We start from the raw sequence: 12,810 nt of genomic DNA, 5'->3' as shown, positions 1-12,810 counted from the left end.
AAGAGCTCATCTTAACCCTCCCAAAATCCAAGTTCCCATATGCCAGGCCAAGGACCAACCTTGTAAGAAGGCCTTCCAGAGGATACCAATCAGGCCTGCTATGTTAAGTCTTTTCTACACATGTAATAATAACAGTAATCAAGAAAATCAAACATTGCAAAAAGGAGAGTGATAAACAGTGTTAAAGCAGTGTGATATGGACCAAAAATGTTGATTGAATTTGGCAACATAGAGGTCATTGGTAACCAGTGTCAACACAGTTTTATTAGAGGGATGAGCACACCTACCAGGCTGTAATTGATTGATTACAATAGAAAGTGAGAAAATGAAGATGACTATTTCAAGCATTGTGCCTCAGAAGACAGGGAGTTCCTAGAGCAGGAGAAGGAGCCAAGGATTTTACAGATGTTAAAGACGAGATGATTTTTGATGGAAAGAAAAGAGTCAATAAAATGAGAGAAGGGGATTTAAGATAAAAGAAATTTTAAAAAGCACTGTGGTATAAGGTTCTAAAGATTTTGGAGGGGCTTCAATCAAGGTGAAGGAGCTACCTTTGAAGAGTAGGTCAAAGGGAAGAAGGCAAGGTCATAGAGGGATGTGTGTGTGTGTGTGTATGTATATGAGTTTAGGGAAAGCTACCATAAGTCATGAAAATGGACACATATAAAAGATTGAAGTTCACCTTTTATCAGAAAAGAATGCTAGATAGGGCTGTGGAATTGACCTCAAAAAACAACATGCAGCTAACTATTTCTTCTGCCCTCAATGCTAAGAGCTCTTAGCTAAGGAAGTCTAGAAAGAACTCTTTTCCCTTATTGCATCAACTCAGTAATGCTGGAGAAATAAAGAAAGCTTAGAGAGATGAATTTATCAATGGAATGTGAAAGAAAGCTGAGAGATGAATTTATCGATGGAATGTGTGAAAATAATATCTAGTTGGAACCAATGATAATCAAATTTATGAATCAATGTAGAATTTATAATATGCTACATAATTCTCTTTCTTAAGTAAAAATATCATGAGTACAAAATGTTGTCATAAATTCTCCATTTCCAATGTTGTATTTTAAATCAGAATGGTAAAATTTATTAGAATGAACTTTTCTTTTTTGTTAATTTTGGTAAAACATTTAACGTAAGATTCACCCTCTTAATAAATGTTTAAGTGTACAGTATACACTGTTGGTAACTATGGGCATGAGGTTGTACAACAGCTTTCTAGAACTTATTCATCTTGCATAACTGAAACTTCACACCCATTAAATAGGAACTCCCCAATTTCCCTGTCCTCCCAGCCCCTGGCAACCACCATTCTACTCTCTGGTTCTATGAGTTTGACTGTTTTAGATACCTCATATAATTGGAATCATATAGAATTTGACTTTCTGTGACTGGTTTATTTCACTTTGCATAATGTCCTCAAGGTTCACCCATGTTGTTACTTATGGCAGGATTTTTTTAAGGCTGAATAATATTCACTGTATATATATATCACATTTTGTTTATTCATCCATCCATCAGTGGACACTTGGGTTGCTTTCACCATTTGGCCATTGTGAATAACATTGCAATGAACATGACAGCACAAATACTTCAATATCCTGATTTCAGTTCTTTTGAATAAATACCCAGAAGTGGGATTGCAGGATCAGATAGTTCTATTCTTAATTTTTTGAGGAGCCTTTATAGTGTTTTCCATAGTGGTTACACTATTTTACAATCCCACACTCCCAACAGTGTAACACTATTTTACAATCCCACACTCCCAACAGTGTATGAGAGTTCCAATTTCTCCATATCCTTGCCAACACTCCTGTCTGTCTCTTTCTTTCTCTTTCTTTTTGAGAGTAATTACCCTAACAGGTGTGGGATGATATCTCATTGTGATTTTGATTTTACATTTCCCTGATTAGTGATGTTGGACATCTTTTCACATACCTGTTGGCCATTTGTATGTCTTCACTGCAAAAATGTCTATTCAGGTTCTTTGCCATTTTTAAAATCTGGTTATCTGGTTTTTGCTATTGAGTTGTAAGAGTTATATATTTTAGATATTAACCCCTTATCAAATATATGATTTGCAAATGTTTTCTCCTGTCCTGTAGGTTCTCTTTTCAGTCTGTTGTTTCCTTTGCCATGAAGAAGCACTTTAATTTGATATAGTGCCACTTGTCTGTTTTTGCTTTTATTCCCTGTGTTTTTCATGTCATATTCAAGAACTCATTGTAATGAATTTAACTTTACTGCTTTTAAGAGTACCAATCTGAAAATGAGACTACATTGAGATTCCTTGCAGAAATAATTTATTTCATAATATTATACTTTTGAAACTACTGAATTATGTACATTCATCTGTGACAAATAATATGAAGGGTATATAATTTGAGTATCAGAAGTGTAATTACCCAAACAAAAGATAACATTTATAAGCAATCTGCTTCATTTGGCAAGTGGAGCTGTTTCCATAGCAGGAATTAAGCCTTTCTGACCAAAATTAATCACCTTTTCATAGAATTAGTAGCCTCTTTTAGCACTTCACATTATAAATTGTTTTAAAGTGTTAACTCATAAGTTCAATAACTTGGACAACTATGTACTGGGATTTTAGTTTATTCCCCTGTATAGTTATCTTACTAAACTAGAATTTATTTACAGAAATTATTTGTTTCACTTGGTTTCTTTTTTAACAGAGAACTAACAAACCATACATTTTATTCTTTACACATAGACTATTTGAAAATCATTATTAAAGTTTTAAAGGAGATGTGTCATTTAAGGTAGTATTTCACTTCTTTTTTTTTTTTTTTTTTGGAGACAGAGTCTCGCTCTGTCACCCAGGCTGGAGTGCAGGGGCACCATCTCAGCTCACTGCAACCTCCGCCTCCTGGTTCAAGCGATTCTCCTGCCTCAGCCTCCCGAGTAGCTGGGATTACAGGTGCCTGCCACCACGCCCAGCTAATTTTTGTATTTTTAGTAGAGACAGGGTTTCACCATGTTGGCCAGGCTGGTCTCGATCTCTTGACCTCGTGATCCACCCGCCTCGGCCTCCTGAAGTGCTGGGATTACAGGCATGAGCCACTGCACCCAGCCATATTTCACTTTTTTATGAGTGTTGAATTATAGAGTTAAATAGATTTTAGGATTTCACTGGCAAAGGTAGATCCTTGTTAGTAATGTGAGAAAACAATTTCAAAATTTTATAAAGTAATAAATATTAGGACCTAATAAGTCAAATTAACATTTCATGTTAAATGATTTGAATTATTCTTTATAATAAAGAACTGGCAGACACATCAATTTCCTATGTAAGTAAAATTTTGACTACTTAATGAAATTGATAAGTTAGGCACATTAGTTCTCAAAAAATAGATTTGGCCTCTCAGTTAAGTTTTAAGTAGGGTATTGGTAGTTACCTTCCTTAAAGGATTGATTTTTCCTTTAAGGCAGGGAGGTTTTCTTATTGAGACCCATAGGATCCCTTTCAATTAGAAGATACTGCCCTTGACTAGATCATAGCCCCTTTATCTCAAAGAGAATTCCCTCTTCTCCTCACTCTTCATTCCTTCATTCCGTAGAGTTGTGTTGAGACCTATGGGAGTTTAACCTCACAAGTTGGCCTGTGAGAGGTTCTGTGGACAATTAAACTCTGACATATAGGGACATATAATGATGCTGTTTTTTGGTTGGGGAACTGTGACTGGGATAGATTCTGTGTTCTTAGTTGTTGTTGCTGCTACTACCTTTCTGTCTATTCTTCCAAGGTTTTTTTAATGTCTGAAAATTTTAAGTACTATTAGCCAAAACTCCTTTAAATAAAACTTTAGGAGACATTTTATTTCTTTTTGCATCATAGGAAGAGTCTTAAAAATTGCAGTTAGAATATTTGGCTGATACATGGCATTTTCAAATATTTGATATCTATTTTGAATATTTATTGATTGAACTGTATTTTTGCATGAACAGATTATCAGACATTTGTCCTGCTGATCAGAAGATCATTTTAGAATCTATATATAAATATTCACATAAAAGTCAAGATTTAAGAGTTGTTGAGCTAGTTATCTTTTGAGTTTTCTTTTAATTCCAAATAGAATTCATGTTACTGTTAGCACAAATAATGTGCCTAAATACCTTTGTAACTGGGTTCCCTAAGTTTGGGTAAGGAGCGGATGAATGAGAGATAATGGTACAACTATGGGAGTCTTTTTTTCACTTTTTTTTTCATTGGGTAGTAGCCATACTGGTCAGAAATATATATTTGTGTGTGGTTGGTGACAGTGTGGCTTTTTATAAATGCTTATAGGAAGTAAACATCAAAAACAAGTTGTTATTTTTCTTTAATCTGGGCTGTACCTGCATCTTCTTATTAAAGTAGGAACACTGTTGGTTACTTTCAGATCTGTTCTTACTTAGTCCTCACAAAACCTTCATGTAGTAGGTAACATTATCACCAAATTTACAGATGAATAGACTTACAAAGGTTAAGTAATTTGCCTATGTCTAGTAGTGCAGATAAGATCCAAAGAAACCCGTGTACCTTCTGTTCATGCTTTCCCTCTAAAACCTACAATTTGGAGATAGTTCTTCTGTTGTCATTTTCTGGAATGACAAATTTCACACAATTACTTACAAACCTTCTATTTATGAAATTAGGACTATGCATGTTAGGAATTATTTTTATTCTAAAAACTCAATGTGTTCAAGTATATCAAGTATATAGTATAACTAATCTTCTTCCCTTCAAAAATAACTCCTTCAGTTGATAGTATCAGTATTTTTCCAGTCTCCTAGATTTAAAACCTTAACATCATAATTTATTTATTCCATCATCTCCCTTGCCCCTCTGTGCCACATATTCATGAGCTGGCAAGACTTAACAGCTCTATAACTATGTGATATCTCTTACATCCATTTGCTTTTTTCCATCTTTATTTCTTTTATGCTAGTAAGAACCATATCCCTCCTTCTCTAATCTGTTAGCTAGTTTTACCAATTTTAATCCTTTCTCTGCTCCACACCATCTTACAACTATTGCCAGAACAACCTTTGGAAAGCATAGTTCTGATATTTAACCCACCCTCAAAGGATCATTTTGTTAATTGCCAAGCATTTACAGCTCTTCAAAATCTAGCCTTAAACTCATCTTGCCTCATCTCCTACCTTACCTCTTTATGCACCTCTCATGTCAAGACATGTCAGACTCTTTTCTCTGCTGGATGCATTTCTAACCATTCTTTAGTAGCTAATTAAAACATGACTTCTTCATAAAGCCTCCCTTGGTATACATTTCCACTAAAAGTAGTCTTACTCTGCCTTGAACTTCACAGGTTTTAATCACTACCTCTCTTTGAGACCCTTATACTTTCCTGCTTTGGGGGAGTTTATTGTGTGTGTGTGGTTTGCTATGTTTTGTTTTGTTTCTTCTGGGGATAGGGTCTGCAGGCTGGAGTGCAGTGGCATGATCATAGCTCACTGCAGCCTTGAACTTCTGGGCTTAACCAATCCTCCTGTGTCAGCCTCCCAAGTAGCTGGGACTGCAGGAACAAGCCACTAAGCTAATTTTATTTTTCGTAGATACTGGGTCTGACTATGATGTCCAGGCTGGTCTCAAATTCCTGGCCTCAAATGATCCTGCCACCTCAGCATCCTAAAGTGCTGGGATTACAGACATGAGCTACCATACCTAGGTTTTTGTGTTTTTTTTAAACATAATGTTTTATGTATCTCTCTACCAGATTATTAGTTTATAGAAAAGAACTGAGTCTTAATACCTTTCCGCAGTGCCTATAGGAGACTTTCATTAAATATTTACTGATTGAATAAATAAATCTTAAAACAGATAAATGACACTGTATTTTCTTATGTATAGGATGAAGGTGACCAAGCAGCAAGTGTTGAAGAGCTGGAAAAACAGATTGAAAAACTGAGTAAAGTAAGCACTTTTCTGATTAACATTTAACTTCTTCACAGTGTTTTAGAAATCTACATTGTAAGGGGATTAGTTTTTCTGACTGCTAAGCAAAAATAGGCTTTTGGTGAGTAATTAAAAATGAAGATTCTGAATAGCATTTTTGTCAGAAAAAAAAATAAGATGAGGAACACTAGAAACATTCTTACAATTGAACTTTACAAGCTTAATGCCAAGGTTAAAAGCCTGCCTCTTAAAACGTGATATTGAACTTAATCAGAGCCTAGAAAGAAAATATTCTATACTCTTCAGCTCTTCATATAAATACAAAATGTCAATTAAGGCATAGTTTTATTTCTTGGAATTAATTACTAAAAAATTCAGTTGAATTTCATAGTAACAGTTTCAGCATCTTAGGTTTTATTTTACATTTGTATATTTGTGGGTTTTATTTGCATTGGATTTGTAAACTGTGGATGTATTTACATACATCTTGTTAAAAATTCCATTTCAGAAGTGGTTTACGCCTGTAATCCCAGCACTTTGGGAGGCTGAGGTGAGAGGATCGTTTGAGCCCAGGAGTTTGAGAAAAGCCTGGGCAATATGGCGAGACCCTGTCTCTAAAAAAAAAAAAAAAAGAAAAAAAAACTAAGAAAAACTGAATTTCATAGCATTAGTGAAATTTAAGATGAGCTTTTTATAAGAACAAAAATGAGTTTTCAAAGGTATTACGAGATGCCTGTGTATGGTATTAATATTAGATTCTTCACAGACCTATCCCAAAACTTAATTATATGTTGTCTAGGTTTACAACATGAGTGTAAACATAGGCAAATACAGGTTTAGCCAATTACATATATATTATTTGTTTTTTGTTTTGCTTTGCTTTTTGAAACAGAGTCTTGCTCTGGCACCTAGGCTGGAGTGCAATGGCGTGGTCACTGCAGCCTTGACCTCCCAGGCTCAAGCGATCCTCCCACCTCAGCCTCCCTGGTGGTGGAACTACAGGCATGTGCCACCGTGCCCAGCTGATTTTTCATATTTTTTGTAGAGATGGGGTCTCACTATGTTGCCAAGGCTGGTCTCTAATTCCTGGGTTCAAATGACCCACCCGCCTCAGCCTCCCAGAGTGCTGGGATTACAGGCATGAGCCACTGTGCCTGGCCATATTATATGTATTATTTGTTATATACTGTAAGCAATAGAATTGAATTGAACCAGTTTGCTTTGGCTCCATAAAATACTTGATCCCATTGTTTATTATCAAGTAAAAGGATAAGTTTTATTTTATCAGGTAGCTTATCCTTTTACTCCATGGCAACAAAAATAATTATCCTTAAAATGATTTCTATCTTTATAAATGTTACTGAAATTGAAGTCAGGCATGAATATTTAGACCTTTTGCTCTTTTCCCAGTAGTGAAATTTATGTGCTTAAAGGTACAATAAGTATAAAGTTACATATATATTAATTTTTAAAGCATTTAACATCCCAAACCTAATTATATGTACCATTTTTTTAACAGCAACAGAGTCAGTACAGAAGGAAGCTCTTTGATGCGTCTCACTCATTGCGTTCAGTGATGTTTGGCCAAGATCGTTACAGACGCCGGTACTGGATTCTTCCCCAATGTGGGGGGATTTTTGTAGAAGGCATGGAGAGTGGTGAAGGTTAGAACTCATAATCCGATACAAATTGTTAAATAAGAAACTATATATTTTAAAACTCTGTTACTTCTTCAATATATTTTGTGTTCCCATAATCAATGTTTGGTAAACATGTAAAACCTTAATTCTCATTCCTTTTGCACTCATAATGCCCCTTCACTGATACACACTTCCTCCTAGCCCTTGATATTCTTTTGCTACTCTTTCTGACATCAGACATAAGCTGTTCTTTCTTTCTTTGGTGGACAGAGACTTGTATTTCCATCTATATTACCTTTTATAGCTGCTGCTCCATTTCTCTTTCTTCCCATTGTCAAACTTCCCAATAAGTGGTTTATTCTTTTACAATAAGCATACATCCTGACAGTAACCCCCTGCAGGTAACTTGCTTAAATCTAAGATCTTCATCATAATCCTCATTCCTTTTCAAATCTTGTTAATGTTTGAAATTTGTGATCACTTCCTTCTCCTTCAGACTTCTTCCTTTTTTGAATTTTGTGTTACCACAAATTCATGATATTCTACCTTTAGATTTCTTTCGCTGGCTCCATTTCTGTTACATTAACTAGCAGAGTGCATTATGCATTTATGTGCTCAGTAAACCTTCTCGAATTTAACTTTTCAGAGCTCCATGTCTGGACATTTTCAAATGCCAAATTCTGATGGGGACAAAAGTGTTATGTTAGTGCTTATATATTTTAGAATAGCTATTGACTCATGTTGGTACATGGAAGCAAAAATGTTCTTACATTCTGAAAATCTGTAAGCACTAACATTAACACTTTTGTCCCCATCAGACATGGAAGATAAAACACATTTTTGAATGCCTGCTATGTGCTAGACATTTCTAGGCACTGTAGGAGACACAAAGCTGTATAAAATAGAATCCATGTCATGTTTATAGTCCACTGGGGAGAGAAGACTGGCTAATCATATAGATGACTCTAATAGAAAATATAAATAAAGCAGTTGCTTTTAAGGGTTTTGTTTTTAGTAATGGGATCACTTTTTTTTAAATGAAAATGTTATGCAGAATCTCAATATCTAACAAAAATGAATTGTTCTGATTGATCTACTTGGGAGAATTTTCTAGCTTATACAAATAGACCTCTGTTCTGTATACTTGCTTTCCAATTCAGGAATGATCCCAGAGGCATCTCTAATAATGTTAGGATTCTGCACTAAAGAGTAAGCTCAGAACCTATGAAAGTGAAGTGCCTAGAGGGATCAAAGCTGAGAAACATTATGTACCTTACTTAACATTTTGTCATAATGTTTGGTACAGATGGCCATCTCTGCCACTAGACTGTGAGCTCTTGGAGAACAGAGACTAATTTTGGCAGGGGAATTACACTAAAATAGATAACCTGGGAGCAAAGTACGCATTGGATTGGAAGAAGTAGTAAAGAAACTGACTGTGGAACCGTTACAGTAACCCAGCTAAGAAGTAGGGAGGCCATAACCTCAGGAGCAAACAGGGATAAAAGGAAGACAGAAAGAAGGATCTTGAAGGTTGAATTGCTGTAAGAAATTATTGAGTATAATGTAGGAAAGTGGAAATTAGAGATAAATTTAATGGCTTATTTCCCAATAGAAAAATTATGGGCCAGACATGGTGGCTCACACCTTTAATCCCAGCACTTTGGGAGGCCAAGGCAGACAGATCACTTGAGGCCAGGAGCTTGAGACCAGCCTGGGCAACATGGCAAAGCCCCGTCTCTAGCAAAAAGTACAAAAATTAGCCAGATGCAGTGACACGTGCCTATAGTCCCAGCTACTCTGGAGGCTGAGGCACAAGAATCGCTTGAACCCAGGAAACAGAGGTTGCAATGAGCCAAGAGTGCACCACTGCACTCCAGCCTGGGTGGCAGAGCGGGCCCTGTCTCAAAAATAAATAAATACATACATATATACATACATAACAAAAATTATGATACTTTGGCCGAGCGCGGTGTCTCACACCTGTAATCCCAGCACTTTGTGAGGTCAACGCGGGCAGATTACCTGAGGTCAGGAGTTCGTGACGAGCCTGACCAACATGGAGAAACCGCATCTCTACTAAAAATACAAAAAAATTAGCCGGGTGTGGTGGCGCATGCCAGTAATCCCAGCTACTCAGGAGGCTGAGGCAGGAGAATCGCTTGAAGCCAGGAGGCAAGGAGAGGTTGCAGTGAGCCGAGATCGTGCCATTGCACTTCAGCCTGGGCAACAGGAGTGAAGATCTGTCTCTAAATAAATAAATAAATGAATGATACTTTAAAATGAATTAGAGCAGTCAATAGGAGGGGTTGTTTGAAATGAAATTAAGTCAAAGTTTTAGTATAGGATCTAATTTAAAATGACAAAAGTATGGGTCATTTAGAAGTACAGAGCCTGGGCCGGGTGCGGTGGCTCACACCTATAATCCCAGCACTTTGGGAGGCGGAGACGGGCGGATCACGAGGTCAGGAGATCAAGACCATCCTGGTTAACGTGGTGAAACCCCGTCTCTACTAAAAATACAAAAAACATTAGCCGGGCGTGGTGGCGGGCGCCTGTAGTCCCAGCTACTCGGGAGGCTGAGGCAGGAGAATGGCATGAACCCGGGAGACGGAGCTTGTAGTGAGCCGAGATTGTGCCACTGGGCAAGAGAGCGAGACTGCGTCTCAAAAAAAAAAAAAAAAAAAAAAGGTAGTACAGTGCCTAGGAGACTTAAGAGCAGTTTTTTTTTTAATAAATATATATTTTTATTATACTTTAAGTTCTAGGGTACATGTGCACAACGTGCAGATTTGTTACATATGTATACATGTGCCATGTTGGTGTGCTGCACCCATTAACTCATCATTTACATTAGGTATATCTCCTAATGCTATCCCTCCCCTCTCCCACCACCCCACGACAGGCCCCAGTGTGTGATGTTCCCCTTCCTGTGTCCAAGTGTTCTCATTGTTCAATTCCCACCTATGAGAGAGAACATGCGGTGTTTGGTTTTTTGTCCTTGCAATAGTTTGCTGAGAATGATGGTTTCCAGCTTCATCCATGTCCCTACAAAGGACATGAACTCATCCTTTTCTATGGCTGCATAGTATTCCATGGTGTATATGTGCCATGTTTTCTTAATCCTGTCTATCATTGTTGGACATTTGGGTTGAAATACCATTTGACCCAGCCATCCCATTACTGGGTATATACCCAACGGAATATAAATCATGCTGCTATAAAGACACATGCACACGTATGTTTATTGCAGCACTACTCACAATAGCAAAGACTTGGAACCAACTCAAATGTCCAACAAAGATTTTTTTTTAATGCCTAGGTGAGTGGCTTTTTAACCTTATGAATCACCTGAAAAGCTTAAGAAAATGATCAATCTGAGCCCTACCCCAGACCAGTTAAATATTCAATATGTTTAAGAGCCACATTCTTCTTAGTCACTTGGGCATGTAAACTTGAAGTATCTAGGACATCAACTTTCCTTCAAAATACCTGAAATCAGTCTCTTTGCAACACTACTGAAATCAGTTCTTTATCATTGTATACCTGGATTATTACACCTGTCCTCAACTTCTCTATATACAATTCCCTCCTTCCATCACATTCTGTCATCATATCATGTCTCTACTCTGAAACCTTAAATGACCTCTATAACCTGTAACATGATGTAGTTAAATATGTACTTAGCCTGGCATTCAAGACTGTATACAATTCTGACCCCAAGCTGTCTTTATGCTGTTCTGTTAATGAGAATTCAACTAGTCCAGTCTACTCACTGAACACATGTGTATTCCTCCCCTTGCATCTTTGCCAAATCTTGTTTATTATAATAATAATCTGCTTTTCTTCTACCATCGAAATTTCACCCATCCTTCTTGATCCAGCTCAAATCCTAAGCTTTTCCACAAACTTCCCAGCTTATTTAAGTGGACCTTTTAATAAACGTGAAATTGAACTCCCAGAAAAGCAGATAATTAATTAGACCATTATTTTAGCACATTAATATATATACTATTTCCTTATTTAAATCTTATAATCTTCATCTGTGCTTTTAATTTTCCATAGTGTTGGAAGGATAGTACTTTATATATCACAGGCACACTTAAAATACTTTAAGATTTAAATAAGTAAATAAATAATTTAATGTCTTTATAAGGTTTTATAAGAATAGCTTATAGGAGACAGTTTTTTTTTTTTTTTTTTTTTTTTTAGGCCTTTCAGATTATCATTGATTGAATTTACATATTAGACCTCCATTTCCATCCAGGCTCTTCTACATAACCTCTCTGGACACTGATTTCTGTTTCTGCAAAAAAATATTAATAAGCTGTATATGAATTCTTCGATTGTTACAAGGATCATGTCAGATAATGGATCTAAAACAACTGCAAAGTGATATATAAATAGCAGTTGTACTTTATACTCTTATTTGTGGTCATTGCAGAGCAGGGGGAAGTAGGGATAATTTTTCACTTTATTTTCTTCTGAAGTTTTTTATTTCATTAATAGACATATTAATAGACATTAATGAAATAATAAGGGAATATACGTCTGCTGTATTCTATGTGCTAAGAACTTATAAATAATAGGTATAGATTCCTTCTCTTTATCTTACAGCTAATTAAAATGAGGAAAAAACTCAGATGATTTATTCATCAAGTGTTTATTTACACCTGTATTGTGCCTTGTACTAAGTGCTGTGGAGATGCAAAAGAAGACCAGGTGCACTGGTTCATGCCTGTAATCCTAGCACTTTGGGAGGCTGAGGCAGGAGGATTGCTTGAGCCCAAGAGTTCACAACGAGCCTGGGCAACGTAGCAAGACCTTGTCTCTACTAAAATCACATATATATGGCTGACTGTGGTGTGCACCTGTAATCTCAGTTACTCAGGAGGCTGGCATAGGGGGATCACTTGAGCAAAACAAGATGCAAAAGAATCAGTTAACCTGTCCCTATCCACAAAAAGCTCACAATCTAATTGGAAAGATACAGCACGTATGAAGACAAAGAGAACATACAAGTGTATAATATGAGCACGTAGTGTGTCTGACAGGCAAGGCTGATAAAGATCAGTAAGTGTCAAACTAGTAGAAACTACTGTAAATAAATGGGTGCTGAAAGTTAATTCAACATTAACAATATACATTATTGTCATCATCTTATTTATTACTTTTTTTTTTGAGACAGATTCTCACTCTATCTCCCAGGCTGGAGTGCAGTGGCGCGATCTTGGCTCACTGCAAGCTCCACCTCCC

At 36.6% G+C, this 12,810-nt stretch overlaps 1 protein-coding gene across 49 annotated transcripts in view; it reads left to right on the top strand.

The window, feature by feature from the left end:
• Positions 1–12,810, top strand: part of BAZ2B (bromodomain adjacent to zinc finger domain 2B) — a 397,131-nt gene that overhangs the window by 331,820 nt on the left and 52,501 nt on the right. For all 49 annotated transcript variants that reach the window (XM_047444047.1, XM_047444046.1, XM_047444040.1 and 46 more), the window contains 2 exons: positions 5,870–5,932; positions 7,434–7,578. In XM_047444047.1, the coding sequence (XP_047300003.1) occupies positions 5,870–5,932; positions 7,434–7,578 (208 nt within the window). The remainder of the gene's footprint in view (positions 1–5,869; positions 5,933–7,433; positions 7,579–12,810) is intronic.

Source organism: Homo sapiens, chromosome 2, assembly GCF_000001405.40.
Source record: "Homo sapiens chromosome 2, GRCh38.p14 Primary Assembly".
Taxonomy (NCBI): domain Eukaryota; kingdom Metazoa; phylum Chordata; class Mammalia; order Primates; family Hominidae; genus Homo; species Homo sapiens.
The sequence above is the reverse complement of the archived record's forward strand: the minus strand, read 5'-3'. Positions and strand labels throughout refer to the sequence as shown.